Source organism: Homo sapiens, chromosome 19, assembly GCF_000001405.40.
Source record: "Homo sapiens chromosome 19, GRCh38.p14 Primary Assembly".
In the NCBI taxonomy this organism is placed as follows: domain Eukaryota; kingdom Metazoa; phylum Chordata; class Mammalia; order Primates; family Hominidae; genus Homo; species Homo sapiens.
In genome coordinates this window covers 51,477,812-51,503,719 of record NC_000019.10, presented here as the reverse complement: position 1 = coordinate 51,503,719, position 25,908 = coordinate 51,477,812, and the positions used below count along the sequence as shown (strand labels likewise).

Sequence of the window (25,908 nt, the reverse complement as noted above, 5' to 3'; positions counted from 1 at the left end):
GAGAGACATGTAGCTGTAGCACTTGTCACTCTGGTCCTTAATATCTTCCTCTCCAAATTATGGAAGTGGGTCTAGAGGGCCCATCAGCTCCTCTGAGTCATATGTGGTTCAAACGTTCTTCCTTTGCAGATTCTCTGTGGCTTCCTCATGTCTCTCCTTCCCATTTTTCTGCTTTTCTTTGCCAACTGGGGACTGTGGGAAAGAGATGGGCCGTGGTCGAGCCCTTCTTCCCATTGAGATGCTGCAACTGTCCTTACGGGAAGAAAGTGACACGGCAAGGATGGGGGCCCAGGAGCAGATTGGTCTGCAGGATGAGATACAAGCTGCAAATGCAGGAATTAGTGGTGTCAGGGAGAGGAGCAGCTATGCATGCCCCAATCCTGCACATTTCCTTTTCAATTATCACAGCCAACTGACTCTACTCCAGGTTATGGGCAATTGGGGACAACATGGGGATGGGAAGATCCATGGAGCTGAGTAAAATAAAACAGATTGTGGTTTTTATGTAAAAATAGTCTTTAGAAAAACCTATGCAAAGCCATAGTATTGAAGGCAGTGCACTCAGATGATAAAACTACATAGAAAAGCAAGGAGACCATTATCATTAAAGTGAGGCTGGGGCATCTTCAGGAGGAACTGCATGTGGCCTATAGGAAGGGGAAACACAGGGCTGAATAAATGAATGCAATTTCTTTCTTCATCTCATGGGAGAAATTTGGCAATTATCTTGTGATGTTCTATTTCTTGAACAGTGATAATTTGGTGAAAATCACTGAGTCATTTTTTTAGGTGGCACTTTTATTTACTTGTATTACATTTCCCCAAAAATCATTGTTTCAAGAAAAGCTGACATGGGTCTAAGGAGGGCGAATCTTGCAGGATTTTCCCCACCTTCCTCCCAGTACATAGCATACAGTTTCAAAAACTCTTCTGCTGAATTCAGGTGCATTTCTTCTCCCATGAAATCCTGTCCATCATTGAGCGTGGACACGCCAGGGCTGGTGTCCTCGCTCCACGTCTCCTGTTCACCTGAAACCCTGGGAGCAGAGCCTGCAGGAACAAAGGGCCAGCAGACCCCTCATGCTCTGGAGTAAGGAGGACTTGTGAGAGAGCAGTGGTGAAGGATCCCATCCTGAACCCAGAGAGCCATGGCCGAGAGAGAAACGCCTGCCCCTTTAGAAATCTGTCCCTTCCCATCCAACATTCCTCCCTTCCAGACCTCACTGTACAACAGTCACAGCCTTAGCTTCTCAGGCCTCCTGTGAACTGGGCTCTTCTCTGTGTCTTTGGTGTGTATCAACACACGGAATCCTCACCTCCACGACCCCGTGTCTCTCTGCTCAGTCCTCCCGAGACTGATTCCCCAACATAGGAGAGAGCGACCACACCCTGCCTGGTACCCCCACTGAAGCTCCTGCCATGGAGAGCTCAGATATCAGGAGCCTCAGTGTCTCCCCACTACACAGTGACTCTTTGGGGACAGTGTCTAGCTCTGCTGTGTTGAACTCCACCTCACGGCCGCTGAGGGAGGAAGGAGAGGTTGCCTGCTCATCCCACCTGCACCCCCATCTCTTATATCCTAGTGTCACCTCTGACCTACAGAGAGACATCCACAGCCTGTACTTCATAGGTCTGGCCACATGGGACTCATTTTCACCTTATGGAAAATATCACCCAAGGGGAAGGGCACTGAGAGGGAGGCAGTGGGCGGGGTGGGCCCTGCATGGGGTTGGAATCTGGGTGAGTCTTTCATCCTCTCTGGCCTCAGGGTCCCCAGGAGTGGACGGGGTAGTGGACGGTGGATCTTCCAGGGGTGACCCGGCCCTGACAGTGTCTGTGTGTGAAGTTCCTCCTGTGAGGTCACCGTTCAGAACCCACCCCCAACTTCCTGTGCGGCTTCCTCGAAATCTTGAGTTCTCAGTTCCTGAGAGAAGAACCCTGAGGAACAGACTTACCTCAGCAACCCTGGCACCTCCAACCCGACACATGCTACTGCTGCTGCTACTGCTGCCACCCCTGCTCTGTGGGAGAGTGGGGGCTAAGGAACAGAAGGATTACCTGCTGACAATGCAGAAGTCCGTGACGGTGCAGGAGGGCCTGTGTGTCTCTGTGCTTTGCTCCTTCTCCTACCCCCAAAATGGCTGGACTGCCTCCGATCCAGTTCATGGCTACTGGTTCCGGGCAGGGGACCATGTAAGCCGGAACATTCCAGTGGCCACAAACAACCCAGCTCGAGCAGTGCAGGAGGAGACTCGGGACCGATTCCACCTCCTTGGGGACCCACAGAACAAGGATTGTACCCTGAGCATCAGAGACACCAGAGAGAGTGATGCAGGGACATACGTCTTTTGTGTAGAGAGAGGAAATATGAAATGGAATTATAAATATGACCAGCTCTCTGTGAATGTGACAGGTAAGGCACGGGCTCCAAGAGAGGCCAAAGGCAAATGTGATGAGGGCTTTAGGGCACGGCTGAGACGGGACACATGTCCTGGGAGGGGGCCGGGGGTGATGGACTCAGGGGAGGAGCTGGACCAGAGCCTGAGCTTCCCCAGGACCGCACCTTGGATGCCCCTCCTGATCCTGCAAGCCCCTCCCCTCACCAGCCCTGACCCACAGGCCTGACATCCTCATCCTGCCTCTGACGCTGGCACTGTGGCATGTGGGGCCTTATGACTCCTTGTTTTGGGGCCTGTCCTAGGCATGGCCGGGGTTTAGCACCATCCCAGGCCTCTCCCCACCAGATGCCAGAAGCACCCACCCCACCCATGCAGCGAGACAATTATCTCCACACATTGTCAAACGTCCTGGGGGGTTAAGTCCTCCCCAGTTGAGAGCCTTAGGTCTACACAACCCCGTGACTCTCTCAGGCCAGGCCAGGGAGGAAGCACTTCCTGGCGCAAACCAAGGGCAGCAGAGGCACCTGAGCCTGGACAGGGAGACTCAGCACACGGCCCCTCCATCTCTCATGCCCCGAGGTCCTCGGAGATCCACATTTAGATGCTCAAAAGACAGGAGGGACCTCCACGATGGTCCAGAGGCCGGGAGGGCAGGACCTACGTGTCTGGTGCAGGCCCTGGTGCTTCAGGGAAGCCCGGAGGTAGGAGGCGGGACACGGTCTCTTCTCCTCCCTGGGTGGGTCTCTAGGGTCTCTGAGCTTTAGGGTTTCCTTCACTCTGTGCAGAGGGAATGAGTTCCTATAGCATGTGGGTTTGCAGTTTCTCTTCCATGCAGGGCTGAGGTCTCCAGCTCCTCTCCAGCCCCCTGTGGGTCCCACAGCCCTGCCCCTCCTCTCCCTCCCCCTTCTCTGCTCACACAGGGAGCCCAGGAAGCCTCTGCCTCAGAGATGCTGCTGCCCCTGCTATGGGCAAATGAAGAGAGGGACAGTGGGGGCTGGGCTGACCCTCGTTTCTCCACAGCGTCCCAGGACCTACTGTCAAGATACAGGCTGGAGGTGCCAGAGTCGGTGACTGTGCAGGAGGGTCTGTGTGTCTCTGTGCCCTGCAGTGTCCTTTACCCCCATTACAACTGGACTGCCTCTAGCCCTGTTTATGGATCCTGGTTCAAGGAAGGGGCCGATATACCATGGGATATTCCAGTGGCCACAAACACCCCAAGTGGAAAAGTGCAAGAGGATACCCACGGTCGATTCCTCCTCCTTGGGGACCCACAGACCAACAACTGCTCCCTGAGCATCAGAGATGCCAGGAAGGGGGATTCAGGGAAGTACTACTTCCAGGTGGAGAGAGGAAGCAGGAAATGGAACTACATATATGACAAGCTCTCTGTGCATGTGACAGGTAAATCTCTGGCTCTAGGACCAGCCAGAGGGGAAGGCCCGAGGGCCGCAGGGTAGGGCTGAGGTGGGACCCCCATCCTGGGAGGGAGTTGGAGGTGAAGCATATCTGGCTCAGGGGAGGAGTAAGACCAGAGCCTGAGCCTCCTCAGCACCACACTTCAGACCCCAACACCCTCATTTTGCCTGTCTCCCTTTCATCACCAGCCCTGACTCACATGCCCACCTTCTCCATCCCGGGGACCCTGGAGTCTGGCCACCCCAGGAACCTGACCTGCTCTGTGCCCTGGGCCTGTGAACAGGGGACGCCCCCCACGATCACCTGGATGGGGGCCTCCGTGTCCTCCCTGGACCCCACTATCACTCGCTCCTCGATGCTCAGCCTCATCCCACAGCCCCAGGACCATGGCACCAGCCTCACCTGTCAGGTGACCTTGCCTGGGGCCGGCGTGACCATGACCAGGGCTGTCCGACTCAACATATCCTGTGAGTTCTGGGCCAGGACGTCTGGGTCTTTGATCGGGATTCCTTGAGGCCAGTTGGATGTGGGACCCAGACTCAAGGATCTGGGTCCTGGAATCTTGGCTGGGAGTTGGGGGTCAGGAGGATGCTGGCTCCACCTTCCCCATTTATGGGGCTCCTGGGGAGACAGGGTCAGTGTCCCCAGTCCTCAAAGTGATGGGAACTCCGTGTCTTTCTGTTCCAGATCCTCCTCAGAACTTGACCATGACTGTCTTCCAAGGAGATGGCACAGGTAAGATGGAGTCCTCTCCCTGGGGCTGGAGGAGCAGAGCCTTCAACTCAGGGGAGAGCCAGGACTCACCCTGGTGACCTGAGACCCTTTTGTGGGTGAGCCCCGGCCCCCCCCTCCCTCAGCCTCAGCCTTTTGGCCACCTGAGCACCTTCTCATCACCCCTTCACTCCCCTTGAACTCCTCCACACACACACCTATTTTGGCCCCACAGCAAGGGTAGAGGGACATTCACACAGCAGCTCAAGGATTTGAGGACTCTTATCTTCCAGCTCCTGAATATTGCCTCATCCTTTTATTTTCACCAATAGTTCTGAGGTATATTCTTTTGGATACATACTATAGTCACATGGGCAAAAATTTATAATGCACAGCAGAGTCTGTCCCCAGAATCGACCAGGGTCTGTCCAGGCTGTCCTGAGCCTTGGTTTGTGCACCTGGAAGATCTCAGAGGTGGTTTGATGTCAGTAGTGAGACTGTTTGCACCCTCCTCTAGGGCTGTGTGTCATTCCACTGTCTGAATAGTCTCTGATTTTGTGGCATCTTCTAATGGAAGATCATGGCACTAATTTTATCCTACAGCACAAACACTGCAATGAATATTGTTGTATCTACTCCCACAAGGAATATCTAAGTGTATGGAATAAAGTCCTAAAAGCAAAATATAGCAGTGTCATATGTCTTTCTGATTTTGAAAGATAGAGTGAAATTGTTCTAATTAAAGATGGACAAGTTTACATCCCCAACAGTGAGCAGTGAACGTGCATATGTCCCTACAATTCAGCATGTATCAGTGTCTGTTCCATTCACCACTCTCTTTCTGTATCCTTCCTCCCTGCCTCGATCACTTTGTCTCTCTCTGCCCTTCTGTCTCTTTCTCTACAGCATCCACAACCTTGAGGAATGGCTCGGCCCTTTCAGTCCTGGAGGGCCAGTCCCTGCACCTTGTCTGTGCTGTCGACAGCAATCCCCCTGCCAGGCTGAGCTGGACCTGGGGGAGCCTGACCCTGAGCCCCTCACAGTCCTCGAACCTTGGGGTGCTGGAGCTGCCTCGAGTGCATGTGAAGGATGAAGGGGAATTCACCTGCCGAGCTCAGAACCCTCTAGGCTCCCAGCACATTTCCCTGAGCCTCTCCCTGCAAAACGAGTACACAGGTGGGTAGGGGAGGGTCTGGAGGAGGAGAACACACATGTCCCACCCTCAGGGTCCAGCTGGGAGACCTGGAATTTCCCTGCAACCCACAGCATCACAGTCCTCTTGCTGCCAAGCAGTGAGTGCGGGGTGGGGAGAGGGGAGGAGTTAATCTTGGAGGGGAGGAGCTGGGGCCTGGACAAGTGTGTTTGGGGATACAAGGGCCTTGCTTTCCAGTGCCTGGACTAGTGTGAGGCAAGTGAGGCACTCACTTTGGGCACACAATTTAAGAACCAAAAATAAAACAACTCAGCAAGCAAGAGAAATAATCTTGCCATGTGATTATCTTTTCGAAAATTAAAAATTATTGTAAAATAATTCCATGGTGAAAACTAATCAAAATTTTAAATAAAGGCAGACTGCACCCAGCACTCTCATGCCTCAGTGACCTCAGGAGAAGTTCCCTTCCGTCCTTGTTCTTTCTGTCCGGGAAGCGGGACTGGGGTACCCAAGTCTGGGGCCCTACAGGCAGTGGGAGGAGAAGAGGCCCAGTTCTTGGAGGGTAAACCCCAAAACAACTCCAATCCATCCTCAGGCAAAATGAGGCCTATATCAGGAGTGACGCTAGGGGCATTCGGGGGAGCTGGAGCCACAGCCCTGGTCTTCCTGTACTTCTGCATCATCTTCGTTGTGTGAGCATTGACCCTGGGGAGGAAGAGCCTTGGGGGAGGGCAGGCTGGGAACAAAATCCCTGAAGCCAGACCTGGAAGGACCTGGATGGGTCAAGAGCTTGAAGCAAGGGCCAGAATGAGGTCATGGGTGCATGGTAAGAATTTCATGAGCGCCCCTGTTTGTGGAGCTCCATGTCTGTGGCAAACCTCAGACCCTACTGCCCAGGAAAAAAGAGCCTCTGTTTTCGACATTGGGGTCTCTGGAATGGGACCACTCCCCTCCCGCCTCAGTTACCCCTCCAGCTCCCCAATAGGAAATACAGGGCAGGGGTTGGTCTGCCCACTGCACCCCGATCTGACCACACTGAAAGGCTCTCTGGTCTCTTCACTCAGAGTGAGGTCCTGCAGGAAGAAATCGGCAAGGCCAGCAGTGGGCGTGGGGGATACAGGCATGGAGGACGCAAACGCTGTCAGGGGCTCAGCCTCTCAGGTGAGTGAGCATTGAATCACAGCCCTTCTCCCCTGCTTTCTCCCAGGCCAGGCATGGAAGGGGATTACTTCCTCACTGTCCTTCCTTTCTTCCCCTACAGCCGAAAAATCACGTCCTGTCCACTTTTTCCTCCTAAGAACAGCTTTCATTGCCCTCCCCATCCCATCCTGACCCCTCTCACTGCTGAAGCCTCTGGATCTCTGTCTGGGACCTCCTCACCTCCCTGCCTCTTGCCTCCCCTTCCCGGCCTGGAGGGACGTTCCACAGCCATCACTGTCTGCTTCCTCTGCACGTTGAATAGCTTTTGCTTCAAGTTCCATTTGGCTCAGCAGAGCACTGTCACTAATCTGGGTTTATTTAAATCTTTGTTCTCCAGGAATTTTTTGTTTTTATTTTTATTTATTTATTTATTTTGAGACAGAGTTTTGATCTTGTTGCCCAGGCTGAAGTGCGATGGTGCGATCTCAGCTCACCACAACCTCCACCTCCCGGGTTCAAGTAATTCTGCCTCAGTCTCTCGAGTAGCTGGGATTACATACACGAGCCACCATGCCCGGCTAATTTTGTATTTTTAGTAGAGACGGAGTTTCTCCATGTTGGTCAGGCTGGTCTCAAACTCCCAACCTCAGGTGATCGCCTGCCTCAGCTTCCCAAAGTGCTGGGATTATAGGCGTGAGCCACCGCGCCCAGGCTTTCCATGGACTTTTTATATTAATTTTGATTTTTTAAATATTGTGTTAAAATTGTATTCATCTTCATTGCTGAGATTTGGGGCACCCTTTTAATTTTGTGCTCTGGGTAAGGGCTTCCCTGGCTTTGCTCCAATCCCAGCCCCGCCTCCAGCCACTCCTGCCTCTGCTCCATGCTCCATCAACGCTGGACTCCAGTGTCATCACCAACAAGGTTATTTGTGTCTCTACGTCTTCACATTGGCTGTTCCTCCTCCTCAGATGCTTTTTTCTCCCCACTCCCTGATTCCTATTCATCCTTCATGCCCTGATATAAATATTACACTCATCATTTATTGATTGTATTGAATGTGACTGGAAGCCTGTGGAAGGTTTCGAGTAGCAGAGTAACATCCATCCCTTCATTCATTAATTCATTCAGGAAAAGTTATAGAGCATCTCCTAAGAGAAGATGCCAGCGACCCATCTGTGGAAAACATTTAAAAGTCTTGGGCTCATCGAAGTTTAATTCTATACAGAGGGATATGGCCAAACCAATCAACTAATCAAAACTAATAAAACAACAAATGAATAAAATATAAAGATAGATATATGCTTTAGGGAAAATGCAATGTAGAAGAAATAGGAAGTTCCAAGGAGAAGGCTTGTGGGTTTATTTTTGTTTATTCATCCAACCATTCATCCATCCATCCATCTGTCCGTCTGTCCGTCCGTCCATCCATCCAACCACCCACCCACCCGTCAGTCCATCCATCCATCCATCCATCCATCCATCCACCCACCCACCCACCCATCCATCCATCCATCCATCCATCCATCCATCCACCCACCCGTCTGTCCATCCATCCATCCATCCATCCATCCATCCATCCATCCACCCACCCGTCCGTCCGTCCATCCATCCATCCATCCATCCATCCATCCATCCACCCACCCACCCGTCCATCCATCCATCCATCCATCCATCCATCCACCCACCCACCCGTCCGTCCATCCATCCATCCATCCATCCATCCATCCACCCACCCACCCGTCCATCCATCCATCCACCCATCCATCCATCCAGCCATCTACGGTGGAAAATAACACATAACATAAAATTTACCACCTCAACTTTATTAAGTTTATGGTTGTGCTAGATCTCTAGAACCCTTTTATCTTGCAAAACTGAAACTCCACATTCGTTGAACAATAACTCCGCCCTTTCCCTCCCATCCTCTTCATCCTCCTGCAGCCACTGGAAATCACCAATTTTACTTTATTTTCCTATGAATTTGACTATTCTAGATACCTCATATAAGTGAAATCATACAGTATTGCTCATCTTGTGACTGGACGATTTACTTAACAAATATCCTCAAGGTTCACCCACATTGTAAGGTGTGACAAGATTTCCTTCTTTTTAAAGGGTAATTAATATTGCATTGTGTGTATGTTTACCGCATTTTCTTTATCCATTTATCTGTTGATGTACACTTGGGTTGCTTCCACCTCTTGGTTATTGTGAATAATGCTGCCGTGAGCATGGGCATGCAAATATCTTTTCAATATCCTGCTTTTAATTCTTTTGGGTGTATATCCACAAGTAGGGTTTCTGGACTCTAAGATTATTCTGTTTTTTAATATCTTAAGGAACTGCCATACTGTTTTCCACAGTGGCTACACTATTTTACATTCCCACAAATGTCACACAAGGGTTCCCATTTCTCCACATCCTCACCAACGCTTGTTACTTTTTGGTTTTCGTTTGTTTTTGACAGTGGCCATCCTAACGCGTGTGAGGTGATATCTCATTAAGGCTTTGATTTGCATTTTCTAATAATTAGTGATGTTTTCATATGCTTCTTTTGATTTGTATATCACCTTTAGAGAAAGTCTATCAGAGTTTAAGCCTATTTTTGAAACTGTGTTGTTTCTCTGCTGTTGAGTTCTAAGAATTTTTTTAATATATTCTGGATATTAAAACTTTTTTCAGATGTATGGCTTGAAAATATTTTCTACCATTCTGTAGGATGACTTGTGTTTCTGTTAGTGATGTTTGAGCACAGGAATGAAGGAGGCTCAGATCTGACACTGACTGTGAGATTGAAGAGCACTCCAGACAGAGGGAAGAACAGGGTGAGGCTCAGGCACAGGAGGGACCAGTGAGAGGATCCACAAGGACGTCTGTGTGATTAGACAGAGGGAAGCAAGGCCAAGAACAGGAAATGACTTTGGAGAAGTTGAGCCTGTGTGTGAATCGTGTCTGGCTGCACAGGGCACTGTGAGCATTTGGAGAGTTTTGTGCAAGAGACCATGATTAACTTTTATTTTCATGGGATCCCTCTGGCTGTTGTGTGCAGAAGAGACTGTGTGTGGTAGAGGAAAGACAGAGCAGAGAAGATAGAGAGGAGGCTGGTGAACATCTCAGGCAGGAAGTGGTGCTGGCTGGAACCAAGATGGCAGTGGTGGTGGACATGGCTGTCTTATGGGTAAATTCTGAAGTTAGACTTATGAGAATTGCCAATAGATTGGGTGTACAATGTGAATGACAGAGAGGGAGCAAGAAGACTTCCAGATTTTTGCCCCAATCCATGGGTAGAATGGAGGGGTCAGTCATTGAGGCAGAAAAGATTGTGCAAAAAAAGAGATCTGGGGGAAAAAAGGAGGAGTTCAGATAGAATAGGTTGCATTTTGTGTGCCTTTCGACAAGATGTGTGGGTTTGAAGTATACTATTGGATCAAGGACTATAGTCAGCAGAGGGGAGAGGGCTGGGTGTAAATTTGGAAGTCGTCAGTTTATTGATGGCATGAAGACAACACAGTGGATGAGATTGCAAAGCAAAAGTAAAGAAGAGCTCAGGGCTGCTCTGATATTTAGGGTCAGGGAGATGTGGAGCATCTAGCAAAAGGGCTGCCAAGAAGGTAAGATGGAGCCAGAAAGCACGATGTCCTGTAGTTAAGTCAAGAAGGGCTTCTGTGTAGGGAAGGTGAGCAGCTGGGTCCTCTGCTGCTGTGAAGTCCAAGAAGGAGAAGACTGCAAGACGGACATTTGGACTCAGCCAAGCAGTGGTCATGGTGACCTTGATAACAGCAGTGCTGAGATGTGGTGTGTGTGTGAATGTTAATTTGAGTAATCAAGACAGAATGGGGGAGTGAAATCACAAACAGTTCCATGGAGCATCTGCTGTGCAGGGGAGTAGCAGGGAAGTTCAGAGATGAAGGAGAAGCCTCCCAGGCAGCCTCTGTCACTCTCCACCGTGTGAGTCTATATTAGTTTCCTGTGGCTGCTGTGACAAATTGCCACACATTTCCTGGCTTCAAACAACAAACATGGATTAACTTAAAGTTCTGAAGGTCACAAGCCCAAAATGGGTGTCACTGGGCTAAAATCAAGGCATTGGCAGGCAGGGCCAGTTCCTTCTGGAAGATCCAGGGGAGGATGCGCTTTCTCACCTTTTCCAGCTTCTAGAGGCACCTGCATTCCTTGGCTCAGGACCCTCCCTCTGTCTGCAAGTCAAGCAGCCTGGCATCTTCCAATCTATCTATGCCCTCCTCCTTTCACTACTTGTAAGGACCCCTGTGATTCCACTGGGCCCACCCAAGTAATCCAGGATAATTTCCCCATCTCGATATCCTTAACCTAATTCCATCTGTAAAGCCCCTTTAGCCATGTAAGGTAACAGATCAACAGGTTCCAGGGGATTAGGGCATGGACATTTTGGAGGGGTCATTATTCTTCCTATAAGAGGGATATAATTTATTTTATTGACTTGTCTTCCCCACACCACCAAACTGTGAGCTTCTCAAGGGCAGGTGCCACGTCTGAATCAAGGCCCTGTAATTCTCTCTCACTTGCCCTCTTCCTACCCATCTTATCATAATTCACACATAGATATTCATTTGTTTGGCAGTCATTTATTGCCACCTCCTTCAGTTAAAGAGTGAGATGCAGGGGGTCAGAGCCCATGCCTACCGTGTCCACCACAGTCCATCCAGCACCCAGCCCAGGAACTCACACACAGGAGGCCTCAGCAGGACTCCAGGCTTTGGGGTCAGAAGGAACTGACTGGATTGGGTCCCGGTATAAGAGGGAGTTTGCGCAGGGTACTTAACCATTTCTACCTCAGTTTTCAAATTTATAAAATGGAGACAATAATAATATCTTACTATGGAATTGTTGTTGGAAGTTAATGAGATTAGTAAACACCACATAAGGTGATAATTGAGTATTAGACATTAGAGGAACGTATTAAAGAGATTTCAGCAAAGTGCACATGGGATGAATGGAGGAAGGAACTCCTGGGCCTCCTTCCTGGATGCTCTCTGGTGCATGCTGGCCCCACTGCTCTGCACTGACTCCCTTCTCTTCCTCCATTCAGGGACCCCTGATTGAATCCCCGGCAGATGACAGCCCCCCACACCATGCTCCGCCAGCCCTGGCCACCCCCTCCCCAGAGGAAGGAGAGATCCAGTATGCATCCCTCAGCTTCCACAAAGCGAGGCCTCAGTACCCACAGGAACAGGAGGCCATCGGCTATGAGTACTCCGAGATCAACATCCCCAAGTGAGAAACTGCAGAGACTCAGGCCTGTTTGAGGGCTCACGACCCCTGCAGCAAAGAAGCCCGAGACTGATTCCTTTAGAATTAACAGCCCTCCATGCTGTGCAACAGGACATCAGAACTTATTCCTCTTGTCAAACTGAAAATGCGTGCCTGATGACCAAACTCTCCCTTTCTCCATCCAATCGGTCCACACTCCCCGCCCCCGGCCTCTGGTACCCACCATTCTCTTCTCTACTTCTCTGAGGTCGACTATTTTAGGTTCCAAATATAGTGAGATCGTAGAGTGTTTGTCTCTCTGTACCTGGCTTATTTCACTCAACATAATGTTCTCTAGGTTCATCCGTGTTGTTCCAAATAACAGAATAATGTATTGAATATTTCAAAATGGCTAAAAGAGAGGAGTTTAAATGTTGTCACCAAAAAAAAAAAAAAATTAAATATTTGAGCTGACGGATGTGCTAATCATGCTGACGATGGTTCCACGGTGCATCCAGGTGAGGGAGCCTCACTGGGGCTGCGTTCAGGTCGCTCCGGTACTCAGGGCAGGACTGAAATTTAATCCCTGCCTGATTCTAAGGTCTCTTCTCTCATTCGGCACTGAGTGGAACAACCACTGATTGGCACCCCTTGGCCATAAGTTTACAGCATCGCTGTTGATTCCATGGGTGAAGAAATCTGAGAAGCTGGAAGCGCCGGAGCTGAGGGAGGAGGCGCTTGGAATTAGAGCCCAGCTTTGCGCATGGCCCGCCCCGACCTGCAACCCATTGACCAGCTCTGATTGGCAGATGAAGCGCCCAATGGCCACGCTACCCACGACATCATCTTCAGGTCCCGGGTGGGGTCTGCAGACCTCCTACTGGAGCCTCCATCTCCAGGCTTCCGTGTGACTGGGCTGGGTCCCTCTCTTGCCAGTACCCTCCAAAGAGACCCTGGACCCTTTTCAGCCTCGCTGGCCCTATGGGGACCCCCAGCCCTTCTCCATCACCCTCTCCTCACCTGCTTGCCCTTCTGGTCTTGTCCTCAGGTCTGGGGTGGACACTCATGGAGCCCGATTTGTCCTATGGGGAGAAATCAGGGAAGAAGCCACATCTCAGGTCCCTAAGAAACATGGGAGAGTCCTGGATAGAGAGAGGTGAAGGGGCCCGACTTCCCACCAAGTCCAAGCCTAAGTCTTCCTCACATGGGACCCAATGGAGGAGATGGTCTGAGGGCTGCACCTCTGCACCGAGAGTCCTCAACATCTCCATACTTTTAAAGATTTCCGAGGGCACTGGAGGAAGATGCCACTGTGTGGGGAGAAAGAGGCCGGGTGAAGCTGAGGAAGGAGTGGGCACTGTTGGCCTAATTATGAGGGATCACAACAATGATGGAGGTAATAACAGTAATTTACTTCATACCAATTATATGCCAGGCACTATAACTTATGACAGGGTTATCTTTAACCCTCCCAACAGCCAAGCAAGACAGATACTTTAACCCATTTGCAGATGAAGAAATGAGGGTCCAGAGAGGTGATGTTACTTGCCCCAGGTCACACAGCCAGAACATAACAGAGGCCAATATTCCCAAACTGGCTTCTCTGATTCCAGATCCCTGCTCTCATATCGGAGGGGAGGCCCCAGACCATAGAGAACATGGCGCCTTTGAAAGGAATGGGACAGTGGCGTGGAGGTGGTTCTGCCAGGCCAGGGGGGTTCTTCCAGGTGGTGGAAGATGAGGTGATTCAGATACACTCTTTGAAATACCCTTGAACTTTCTTGAGTTTATCACAATCAGTTTAGAATTGCACATTGAATAATATGATGGCATTAATAATAATATCTGAGATTTTATGAAGTGCTTACTGTGTACCAACCCTTCTTCCAAGGTAATTACTACTAAGAGCTTACTTTATCCCCATAGGAGATATCCCTGTGAGGTTTGGACCAGTGTTAGTTCCATTTTACACATGGCAAGTAAAGCACAGTCAGGCCGATTGCCTGCTATCTCACTGTATGGTCGACATTGTAGGCTCCTTGGTGAAGGGACCATATAATAATCATAAATAGGCTCAATATCTAAATATTAAGATAATTGAAGATGTATCTTCTAAAATCTTTAGATAACATAGTGAAAACGCATACACGTATGCTGTGTGTCTCCTCAGCTCCCTCTTGCCCCACCATTTATTCTAGGAAATGCCACTCCTGTGCCTTTTGGGTGGTATCCAGATCCAATCATGATTAAAATATGAGTAACTCCAGGGTGATCTTTTGGGGAGGGAGAAGGGGAGCTGAAAGAGGGGGCTGGATCGTGGTAGCTGTGATATTACTGGGGGCAGGGAAAGCAGTTTGTTCATCTTTTGTTCATCAGAGGCCCAAGAATAAAGCCAGGAGCTTGGTGAAATGTGGGGGGACCGAGAAACTGAATGAGAGACAAATGAATGAGTCACTGAGGTTGACTTAATGTCAACCTAATCATCCAAAATTTCACTTTGGATGATGAGGTTGACATTAAGTCAACCTCAGTGACTCATTCATTTGTCCCTCATTCAGTCTCCATCAATGACTTTGAACACAAGGATAGAAACCCCTGGAAACTTTTCGTCTGAAGAAATTCGAGTGGAAGCAGGATCATTATGGACAGAAGCACTAAGGCCCATTATACTTTTAGGGATCACAAAAATGTTTCAATTTCTTCTAAAATCAGAAGGAAAAAAACTGAATACAACCCACCCTATATTTTATACATGTTTATATCAAGATAGTCGTAAAATATAATTTTTAATATTTTTCTAGAGGAGGGCCCACAAAAGCAAAAATGCACCCCTGGATGGAATCCATTCCGTAAAACAGAAATGGCCCTGCTCTTAGGGGAATGAGGAGGGATTCTGGAGCCCTGTCCACATGAGTTCCCTGCCCCACTCCAAACTCTGGCACCTTCTGCAGCCCTTGTGAAGAATGTGGTTCCAGGTCCAGGAGGGGCCTGCCCCCAGGGAGGAGCCCACCCTAAGGCAGGGGCCCACCCCTTCTCAGCTGAATTCTCTGAGACCTTTTGTCTTGAGACCTCTCTTGAAGACTAGCCAACAACCCTGCATTTCCAAGACCTCGCTGACCTCCCAGGCGAGGTCTTGTATTTAGATATTGAACCTATTTATGATTATTACATGGTCCCTTAGCAAAGGAGCCTACAACATTGACCATACAGTGAGATAGCAGGGAGTCAGCCTGTCTGTGCTTTACTTGCTATGTGTAAAATGGAACTAATACTGGTCCCAACCTCACAGGGATATCTCCTATGGGGATAAAGTAAGCTCTTACTAGTAAATACCTTGGAACAAGGGTTGGTACACAGTAAGCACATCATAAAATCTCAGAGATTGTTATTAATACCATCATATCATTCTGTTTCTGCCCTTGACCTGAGCCCCTCCCCACTATGTCATGGCCACTCTCTCCATCTGCTTTTGCAATCCCCTTTTCTCTGCTCTTCCCTGAATATGAGAATTCTGTTTCCACCTCGAGCTCTCTTCTCTTCCCATGCAGCATAGTTCCTGGGGTTGGGGTGAGGGACAGAGGAGGGACTAGTGGTTGTCTCTTTCTACTTTTTCTGGTTTTGTTTGGTTTTGTTTTTACTCTTTAAGAACATTCTACATAATTGGTTTACAGCAGTGCTGTCCGGTAGAACTTTTGGCAATGACGAAATGGTCTATATTGGCACCGTCCAATCTCATAGCCATGAGCTGGTGTGACTGAGGAGCTGGATTTTTTACTTATTTAATTTTAATTCATTTTAAACTTAGTCACGTATGACTAGTGGCTACCATATTGGTTAATTCATGTTACAGGCCTTTTCTTCACAGATTATTTACTTATTTATTTTTGAGATGGAGTCTCGCACTGTCGCCCAGGCTGGAGTGCCATGGTGTGATCTCGACTCACTGCAACCTGCACTTGAACTGCACTTGAATCTCCCAGGTTCAAGTGATTCTCCTGCCTCAGCCTCCCAAGTAACTGGGATTACAGGTGACTGCCATCACACTTGGCTAATTTTTTGTATTTTTAGTAGAGACGGGATTTCACTATGTTGGCCAGGCTGGTCTCGAACTCCCGACCTGATGATCCGCCCGCCTTGGCCTTCCAACATGCTGGGATTACAGGCTTCAGCCACTGTGCCTGGCCTATTTATTTATTTTTTATACAGGGTGTCTGTTGCCCAGGCTGGAGTGCAGTGGCACGATCTCGGCTCACTGAGCCTCTGCCTCTCGGGCTCAAGAGATCCTCCCACCTCAGCCTCCTGAGTAGCTGGAACTCCAGAAGCACTCCACCACTCCAGGCTAACTTTTGTATTTTTTGTAGAGATGAGGTTTCACCACGTTGCCCAGGCTGGTCTTGAACTCCTGGGCTCAAGTAATCTGCTTGCCTCAGCCTCCCAAAATGTTGGGATTACAGGCATGAGCTACCATGCCTGGCCATTTCTTCACAGTTTAAATTCAATTTAATATTAAATGAAACAGGTACTAAATCTTACTTAATGTTTAATCTTTCAATTAGATGAACTTTCAATATAATTTTGATCTCACAGTTTATATTTCAATTACATTTTCATTTAGTTTAAAATTTTAGATGAAAATTAGCTCAATAAGGCCAGGCGCGGTGGCTTATGCCTGTAACCCCAGCACTTTGGGATGCTGAGGCGGGCGGATCACGAGGTCAGGAGATCAAGACCATCCTGGCTAACACGGTGAAACCCCGTCTCTACTAAAAAAAAAAACAAAAAAATTAGCCAGGTGTGGTGGCGGGCGCCTGTAGTCCTGGCTACTTGGGAGGCTGAGGCAGGAGAATGGCATGAACCTGGGAGGCGGAGCTTGCAGTGAGCTGAGATCGCGCCACTGCACTCCAGCCTGGGCAACAGAGAGAGACTCCATATAAAAAAAAAAAAAGAAAGAAAAGAAAGAAAGAAAGAAAAAGAAAAAAGAAAATTAGCTCAATAAACAAAAGTTTTGTTCTGCAGGACACCTAGGCATATGTGAGAGTCCTTGAGGACTGAGCTGTCACTAGGCATGTTGATCTCAGGTGAAGGAGACTGGCCCCTAGAGATGAGGGCTCTCCTTCCTAGACCAGGGGGCTCAAGTAGTTCCATCGGCTGCTCCTACTACAGTCTTAGTAGGAAGGAGATGCGGTCCCTGACCTTGGAAAATCCCCTAAGAAACAGCTTCCTCCGGGCACAATGATGCAACCTGCTGACCCAGCTGCACCCTTGGTCTAGGATTGTTTTTAAGGCTCAGAGGCCTGCCTGTCACCCCAGAGCTCACAGAAAAATATAGGCATTGTGCTTCATCATAATCATCACCATCAGCACTGCATTTGCTACCGTCATCATTAGCACCACCATCACCAACATCATCACCATAATACTATTGTCACCATTATGGCCATCATCATCACCATTGTCATCATCACTACCAATGTCACCATCACTAGCAACACTACCATCATCTTTGTCATCATCATCATCACCACTATCACCACCACCACTATTACTATCATCACCATCATCACCATCACAATAATGCCATTTCCACTATTAATCTACATCATCATTGCCATTCCCACTATAATCACCACCATCACCATTGGTACCATTATCTCCATCATTAACGTCATCATCCTCCCAAGCATCACTGCACTTTCTAACATCTACTCCACTGACTCTCAACCAGGGCAAAGTTGCCTCCCATGTGATCTTCATAGTGTCTAGAGACATTTTTGGTTTTCTGAACTGGGGTGGTGGTGGTTGTTACCACTAGCATCTAATGGAAAAAGGCCAGTTATGCGGCTAAATGTCCCACAATGCACAGGACAGCCTTACTACCTCCTCTTCCCCATCAGAGAATTATGGTCCCAATGCTGATAGTGCTGAGGTTGAGAAACTCTGGTCTACTCTATGCTGAGAATGCTGCAAGTCCCCTTTTCCTCCAAGACGTGTCTCTAATCCCCACATCACCCTTCAGGCAGTTGTTGCTCCGTTCATTCTTCAGCTGGGCTGAGGATGAGCTATGAGGAGAAGTGACCTACCCAAGGTAACCTAGCCTACAGGTAGCAGAGCTGGGGTTTGAACCCAGACCTTAACCATCCCACTGCCCAATCTCTTCTCCCTGCATAGTTCACCGCTGATACCTGTTTCCCCAACTTCACTTGGTAGCAAAGGATGACTATGTACCAGGAATTGACATGCAGACCTCTCATTTTTTTACCTGTCCCTCTAGGTAAACCTTAATATCCCTTATAAACACAAAGAGAAGGGAAGTTGCTAGAAGAAACCCCACAGCTATTTAGAACCATGGCCGACTCTAAACCCTCTCTTGCTCCCATCAGCTTCAGGTCCTGGGGGCTGATCTGTCTGCCCCAGATGATCCCTGACAACCTAGTTCCTGGCTTATCCCTCCCCTTCTGGCTCTGCTTCCCCTCTGGAGGGAGGGCTGGCTCCTGAGTCCCAGCCCCCAGCCAACATCCCACCCTTGTCCCAGAGCAATGAGGGCACCTGATTGAGTAGTGGTTGATCAGAGCATGGATCAGGACTCCACAGATGTAAACGCCACCCAGCACTGTCAGCATGATGAGGAACATCACCATGGATCCTGAGATGGAGAAATCTCTGTGGACAACAGGTAAGATCCCTGAAGGAAGAGGACACCTGGGGGTCAGGACCACGATTGACCCATTCATGCATTCACTCATCTCTTCACCCACCCACATATCCATTCTTCAAAGATTTGTCAACATCTATTATCAGCAAAGCACTGTTCCAGGTACGAGGGATTCAGCAGCCAACAAAACAAACTCCCTGTACCCATGGGCCTGACATTCTAGCTGGGAAGTGGACAGTGGACAATTAAGCAAAGAGATGTCTCACACTGCAAGCAACCATAAGTGAATAGAGAAGAATAAACCCTCATAAGGGGAGAGACAGTGACTGGAAGGGGGGTGTGTGACACAGGGTCATTAACTCATTGCATAAATGTTCACTGAGCACCAACTATGTGCTACACACTGTGCCAAGCACTGAGGACAAATGGAAAACAGAAAGCTCGCCCAAGGTGGATCACCTGAGGTCAAGAGTTCAAGACCAGCCTGGGCAACATGGTGAAACCCCATCTCTACTCTATTTTGTAAAAATACAAAAATTAGCTGGGCACAGTGGCGTGTGCCTGTAATCCCAGCTACTCAAGAGGCTGAGGCAGGAGAATCACTTGAGTCCGGGAGGTGCAGGTTGCAGTGAGCAGAGATTGCACCACTGCATCCAGCCTGGGCAACAGAGCGAGACTCTGTTAAAAAAAAAAAAAAAGCTTCCCCAGCTTCTGCCCTCCTGAATCTTGTAGTCCAGGGGAAGAGAAAAATGTGAATCGATGACTTGGAGGGCTGCATGCACACATCGTGTCTGGTGCATAGTAGGTGCTTAGGAGGTAGTGTGGCTGAAGTAAAGTCTGGAGACCACATCCTGTAATGTCTTCTGTACTTTCTTGCACAGTTTCATTTTATTCTCACAGCACCCTTTCCCTGCAGGGATTCTTATCCTTTCATTACAGTTGAGGAAACTGAGTCTCGGAACGATGGAGCTGCTTGTCCCAGGTTCATGGAGATAGGCAGCAGCAGAATGGGGATTTGGACCAAGAACCTTGGGCTGTAGAGCCCCTGCATTTACCTGCTGCACTCCTCTGCAGTCTCCCTGAGCACATCAGTCTCTCTCCTTGATGCAGAAGATTGGACGCATGGTTGCTAAGAAGATGCTTTCCCCATTTACAAATTCACTCCCAAGCCAAGTTTCTGACGCCATGGCCATGCCAAATCTCTACTCCCCGTCCACCCATCCCGTCCCTGCGTCTTTCTAATTCCTCATCTTGAAGCAGCTGAAGGGAGCAGTTGAGGGTGTAGGCTATGCCTGCCTGGGCTTGAATGCCACCTCTTCCATGGGTTACAAAGCAATAGAGCCTTGAATAAGCACTCAAACTCCATGGGGCTCAGTTTCTCACCTGTCAAATGGAGGTGATGCCAATCGCATTCACTTACTCCAGAGAAATGGTGAGAGTCACACAGGTTAGAACAAAGGCGGGCACATAGTAAGTGCTCAGCCAATGTCTGCTACTCTTATCCCCCTGGGAGTCACCCTGACTCTGATCTGAGGACTCCAGAGGATTCACAGAGGAGGCAGCTTTGGACCCAGACCTCAGAGAACTGGGAGATTTCACCCAGAGGTTGAGAGCATGTCATGGCACAGTGGAGGTGGCACTCCTGAGGGTGGGCACTGCCTAGCAGGGCATGGAGGCAGGGAGATGTGCAAAGCATGAGCCTGGAGGGGAGCTGCTGCACTCATGGGGGGCCTGGATCCTGACGTCCATGTACATGATCAGCTGTGTCACGGGGTTCTCCACAGTGCATCGGTAACGGCCCATCTGCTCCCAGGCAAGACTCGAGAGGTTCATCTTTGCATCTGAGAAGTTCAGGAGGGAGCCATTGTGGATCCAGTGGTACTTGAGATCCAGGAAGGAATAGCAGATACACTCCATTTCCACTTGGGAGCCGATCTCAGCTGTCACAATGCCGTTGAAATCATCAGGATTGCTCCTCAGCAGCACATAGTCGGGCCCATCTGTAGAGACAGGGTAGGAGGCCCAGGCTATGTTTCTGACCCCTCGGCGTCCCGTCTCATGAAGTCCTCCCCCAGCCAGGAGGTTCCCCATTGTGCACCTCGGGCTAACCCCTAGACCTGCCCCAGGCAAGGCAGCTGTGTCAACAACAATAACCATAAGAGCATCTTCTATGATTAAGGAACTACTAGAGGCCAGGCCCATGGTGCCATTTACATTGTAATAAAATTAGTGGAGTAAAAGCCAACACATGGGGCCTACTGTGTGCCAGGCACTGTTCTAAGCTCTGTGCCTGTCCCCACATTTGTTGAATTCCCAGAACAACCCATGTGACTGGTTCCACCATTGATCCATTTTATAGATGGAAAACAATGAGGCTCGGAGGAGAGGATTAGGACTTTATGACTCCAACTGACACAGAAGGATTGAGCCAGTCTCAGGGCCTGGGAGCAACTGCCCTGAGCAGCTGCAGCCTCTGGATCCTGGGTCTTGGTTCCAAGCCTCTGACCTGTAAACAGCTGTATGGAGGTCAGAAATTGTTCACCCCTCAACCCCACCTTCCACAGGATGGGTGCCGTAGCCTGCGCTTTAGGAAATCTGACAGACCGCTGGAGTAGTTCCAGGAGACGTGAAAGTGATTTTAGATGTGTGATTATGGTTTTCAGTTGGAAGATGTGGAAGAGTTTATTAAACTCTGTGAGCAGTCCTGGAATACTGGGGAAAAATCTAAGTGTTAATGTATTTATAAGTTCAGCGTATTCGATTTCCAAGAGCTGTCTGAGAATTTGTGGAGGTCTTCCTGGGTGGTGAACTTGCCCCGGTAGGCAGCTAAAAGGCTATAAAAAAAAAAGAATGTATGGAATGCATAATTGAGTCTTTAAATAAAGCTCTCTGTTTAAGGGAGCATAGCCTGTTCAGTTTCAGTGAAAGAGAGTGACAGGGACTATACTAAATTTAGTAGAAAAGAAGAAAGAAATTAATGAGCAGAATTTCAAGGCTCAAGGGGCTTGAAAACTTAATAATTGAACATCAATTTAAGAAACAATGGTATTCAGTAGTCCCCTCTTTACACAAAAGCAGACCTCAACAAAGGCACACTGACCATTTCTAATCTGAGAAGTGGGGACTGGCGTCTTCATTTCAAACTCGAGTGTACCACGTTTCTGAGTAGCAGGGGCAGCTCCCAAGTTCACAGGGCTCAAGAGCCTGAGCTGATTCCAATCCAGAGTGAGCTGGCTGCAGGCTGGCCCAGGATGCCCCCTCTCTCCAGCTCAGCCTGTCCTAACATATTCCTATCCCTAGAAAGCCCTGAGACCAGCCCTGGCTTCAGTCCCAGGAGCCCAGACCACTCACAGGCCACAGTCAGAGAGATGCGTTCACTTCTCTGAAAGATCTCTGGGAAACTCTCTATCATGCACTGAATTGTTCTGTCATAGCGGCTGACCCTGAGGATGACGAGGGTCTTGCCGTCTGGGGAAATTGTCATCCGGTCACTACTAGAGGTAGGCACATCATTCACATACCACGTGATGTTGGTGACATTTGTGAGGCAGTCAGCAGCCACAGAATCCATGTTCTCCACCAGGGAGCTGGCATTGACGGAGATGCCCAGATTGCTTCCCAACTCTGGGTGAAGCAGGAAAGAGAAAAAAATTACAAGTGGGGTCTGCTTCCCCAAGCTCTGCTCCTCTCCAGGGGACTTCTGGGCATGTTGGAGAGAAGCCAAGAGCTGTAAGATAAGATCTGGCATCCTGGCAAGGGAGCTGAGAAGGGCAGAGGAATAGGCACAGGGCAATGAGGCTGCTGAGGTGTGGGCCTTGCCTGAGCCACTGCCGTGCTGTCTGCTGCCATAATGGTGAGCTCTTGGCATAAACATGTGGCCTAATCATTGTTTCTGATCCTCCAAACCAGGACCCTCATCCAGGAGACACGAGAGGTTCTGAGTGAGAGGTGGCATTTGGCTACACAATACTACTCCATTATTTGAGTCCCATTCACTTTACGAATACTCCCTCCAACGCTACGACAAACCACAATGGTGGGTTCCTCCCCACTCTACAGATGAGGAAACTGAAGAACACAGAAGGAACACAAATGGGCCAGGGTCCTGCAGTATGTATTTGCAGCCACTGTCAAATACAGGACTGCTTGTCTTCCAACTCCGCCCTCTCCTCCCACTAGCCCTCAGATCCCCCAGGAGCTGTCCATGGTACACAAGATTCCAGGGCGGCTCCGTGATTTCCACTCCCGGTGTCATGCTCTGTATAATGTCCTTCTCTCAAATGTGTCACATCTAGCTCTCCTTGGGGGTTGGGAAACACAGCACCTGCTAACCCACCTAGAACCTCCAGCCAGCCGGTTGCTCTTTGGGTCTCATTGCCTGCAACCACCCGAACAGTGTAGTTTCCCGTGTCATTTAATGCAGTCGGCCTGATCAACAGGCTGCCTTCTCTGTTCACTCTCTCCCTGCCAGTGTACATGGGCCCAGGCTGCTGGGCACTGGGCGGTTTGTGGCTGATAATCATGTTTCCTGCGCTGTCGTTTGCACCCCAGTACCAGCTGTATTCCTGAACATCCTCAGGGACCTTATCCAGGGCCACGACAGTCCGATATCCCTTGATCCCCAGGGTTTGGGTGATGAAGATTTGGCCAGAGGCCTGGCAGATCCCACAGGCCAGCAGACTGGCTGAAGAAGACAAGGAAAAAAGACAGAGAGAAATTCACAAAGAGATTCAGACTGGCTGAGAAGACAAGGAAAAAAGACACCATCCGGGAACGATTCCCAGAGACGCTGGTGAACCAGGCAAGAGTTTCTGGCTCCTGGTAGAGTCCCCAGCTTGTCCCCTCCTGTGCCTCCCCTCAGCCCCTGCCGTGGTCCATTTTACCCTTATCTTCTCCCAGGCCCTCCTCGCTAGCCACACAGCCTCCAATCCATCCTCACATCACAGTTACGTAAATGTTAATAAGCCCAAGTTGCGACCCTGTTCTCCTCTGCTCAAACACCTTCCATGGCTCCCCAGTGCTCTTAGGATACAGTCCAAACTCTTAGGTGGGTATATGAAACACTCTCAGCCAGAGCTGGTGTTTGTGACTCATCGAGCCTCCTTGTGGTGCACACCTACCCCATCCTGTCCCCACTATGCACCTTTTACTCATTTATTCCTGTAGTTATTTATCAGAAGACATGACTGCCACGCTGTATGCCCCAGGCCTCTACATAGCTCTCTTGGTGCACCACACCTTCTCCTAACTCCAGGCTTCGCACACGCTGTTCCCCATTCCCGGCAGGGACTCCTTCTCCCTCCTCTCCATCTGCACCCTCCTTGCTGACTCACTTCTATTCATCACTCAGGTCTCAGCTTGGATGTCTCCTCCACCCCAGCCTGGGTCAGGTGTCCCCTCTGGGCTCCCCCAGCTCCTCCTGGGCTCCCCCCATCCCAGCCATGACCTCTGGGGGTCCTCAGAGTCTGGGCACATATCTATATCTCGCCCTGGACTGTGGGCTCCAGGAGGGCAGGACTGCCCTGTCTCAGTCACCACTGAGTCCCCAGCGCCCCTGAGCACAGGCTGGACACAGGGGGAGTTCAGTAATGATTGTCTGGGTGAGAAATACTCCCCCGAGAATTTCTACATGTCTTTGATTTTGCATCTAAATTCACTGGAGTGGGTGTGAATGGAGGCGGCAGCCTGTTACCACATATGACATGGGCAGTTGTCCACTGCCCTGTGAACCCCAAGCCTGGGCTATGTGGAGGAGGCAGAGATGCCTGAGACCCCGGCTCTAGGCCTCACGTATGGACACACTGGACCTGTTCAAGGACAGTACACGTGGTAAAGCAGGACAGTTGTGCTTGTAGGGGGCACAGAAGGTCCTGGGCAAAGGTGAGGGGCTGGGAAGGAATCTGGCCTGAGAGGTGGGGGAGGGGATGGGGCAGATTGGGGCACCCAGTGGGAGGTGAGTGCAGGGAGGTGAGGGTGAAGGTCCAAGCTCCTGATTCCTGGGCGTAGATAGAAACACAGTTTCTCTCTCTCTCTCTCTGTGTGTGCGCGCGTGTGTGTGTGTGCATGTGCGTGTGCGTGTGTGTGTAACACCACATGTGTGGGTCTGTGCAGGGGTGTGTCTAGGGGCAAAGTGTGCCCACGTGTGTGAGCTCATGAAAGTTGTGCTGAGGGTCCTCCCCCTTCTCCTCTCCCCGACCCCTGCTCTGGGAGTTTCTTGATGTGCCCGTGGATGGGGATGGTCCCAGCCCCCTCCCCGCCGCTTTGCTCCTAGCTGCCCTTCCCTCAGTCCTGGGAAGCTCATCCAGCATCCAGCATCTCTTACCCATGAGGAAGACCCTCCTCCACAGGCTCCATCTGGGTCTGGAAAGGTCCATGAGCTGCCTGGGGTCCTCCAGGAGGAGGGGTCCCTCCAGAGACACAGCCACCTCCTCTGCTCCCTCCAAGACCTGTGTCTCCTGGCACAGAGGCTGCCGGTCTCGTCTCCCAGCCTTCAGGGCGGCCTTTCCTCCCCAGGGTGCACTCTGACCAGCAGGGGTGGGGCCTGGGGAAGACGGCTCTTGAGAGCCCAACCTTATCTTTATGGCTTTATGTTGCCTTTAGTTCATTATTTATTTACTTATTTTTATAATAATTTACATTTTTTTCTCTGGTCATGAAAAAACGGAAAAACACAGGCTCACTGTTGGGAAAACAAAGAAAACCAGAAAATACAGCCAAGTGCCTCAAAGATAGGACATCAAACTCCTCAACTGTATGTCCTGTTTCCATTTGGTTTGGTTTTCCTATGCAGGGCCCAGCTTTTTTTTTTTTTTTTTTTTTTTCACGGAGTCTCGCTCTGTCACCAGGCTGGAGTGCAATGGCATGATCTTGGCTCACCGCAACCTCGTCTTCCGGGTCCAAGTGATTCACCTGCCTCAGCCTCCCGAGTAGCTGGGACTACAGGCTCGTGCCACCACACCCAGCTAATTTTTGTGTTTTTAGTAGAGACGGGGTTACATCATGCTGGCCAGGATGGTCTTGATCTCTTGACCTCGTTATCCGCCCACCTCGGCCTCCCAAAGTGCTGAGATTACAGGTGTGAGCCACCGTGCCCGGTGTAGGGCCCAACTTTTAGACTGCCTGGGGCTGTTTTACAACTGGCTGCTTTCCTCCTCAACAGTGGACTATTTCTCTATGTCACTAAATATTCCTCCCATGACCATTGT

At 49.8% G+C, this 25,908-nt stretch overlaps 2 protein-coding genes across 4 annotated transcripts, besides 3 other annotated features; one reads left to right on the top strand and one right to left on the bottom strand.

Moving 5' to 3' along the window:
* Positions 1–1,919: 1,919 nt before the first annotated feature.
* SIGLEC12 (sialic acid binding Ig like lectin 12) lies at positions 1,920–12,493 on the top strand. Of its 2 annotated transcripts, NM_053003.4 has the most exons (8): positions 1,920–2,413; positions 3,420–3,800; positions 4,004–4,282; positions 4,503–4,550; positions 5,433–5,702; positions 6,275–6,371; positions 6,744–6,840; positions 11,891–12,493. In NM_053003.4, exons 1-8 carry the CDS (start codon positions 1,987–1,989, stop codon positions 12,077–12,079), a joined length of 1,788 nt encoding a protein of 595 aa, NP_443729.1. In that variant the 5' UTR covers positions 1,920–1,986; the 3' UTR covers positions 12,080–12,493. The 2 variants fall into 2 exon arrangements, with proteins under 2 accessions (NP_443729.1, NP_201586.1); NM_033329.2 differs by lacking the exon at positions 1,920–2,413 and having other exon boundaries at positions 3,327–3,800.
* Positions 3,658–4,157: an enhancer, noted in NCBI's record as "H3K4me1 hESC enhancer chr19:52002817-52003316 (GRCh37/hg19 assembly coordinates)". NCBI's record gives its function as "activates a minimal SCP1, AML or CMV promoter by ChIP-STARR-seq in naive H9 embryonic stem cells {active_cell/tissue: H9 hESC(naive)}" and the evidence as "EXISTENCE:reporter gene assay evidence [ECO:0000049][PMID:30033119]".
* CEACAM18 (CEA cell adhesion molecule 18) lies at positions 12,419–25,181 on the bottom strand. Of its 2 annotated transcripts, XM_054328435.1 has the most exons (7): positions 25,026–25,177; positions 23,040–23,387; positions 22,055–22,327; positions 20,424–20,703; positions 18,598–18,750; positions 13,072–13,133; positions 12,419–12,773 (listed from the first exon to the last, which is right to left on the bottom strand). In XM_054328435.1, the coding sequence occupies exons 1-6, from the start codon at positions 25,075–25,077 to the stop codon at positions 13,115–13,117; spliced, it is 1,125 nt and encodes a 374-aa protein (XP_054184410.1). In that variant the 5' UTR covers positions 25,078–25,177; the 3' UTR covers positions 12,419–12,773; positions 13,072–13,114. The 2 variants fall into 2 exon arrangements, with proteins under 2 accessions (XP_054184410.1, NP_001391990.1); NM_001405061.1 differs by having other exon boundaries at positions 12,419–13,133; positions 18,598–18,733; positions 25,026–25,181.
* Positions 14,818–14,998: a silencer, noted in NCBI's record as "fragment chr19:51991976-51992156 (GRCh37/hg19 assembly coordinates)". NCBI's record gives its function as "represses an EF-1alpha promoter that drives an FKBP-Casp9 reporter gene in an ReSE screen in K562 erythroleukemia cells {active_cell/tissue: K562}" and the evidence as "EXISTENCE:reporter gene assay evidence [ECO:0000049][PMID:32094911]".
* Positions 16,242–16,401: a silencer, noted in NCBI's record as "fragment chr19:51990573-51990732 (GRCh37/hg19 assembly coordinates)". NCBI's record gives its function as "represses an EF-1alpha promoter that drives an FKBP-Casp9 reporter gene in an ReSE screen in K562 erythroleukemia cells {active_cell/tissue: K562}" and the evidence as "EXISTENCE:reporter gene assay evidence [ECO:0000049][PMID:32094911]".
* Positions 25,182–25,908: the final 727 nt, after the last annotated feature.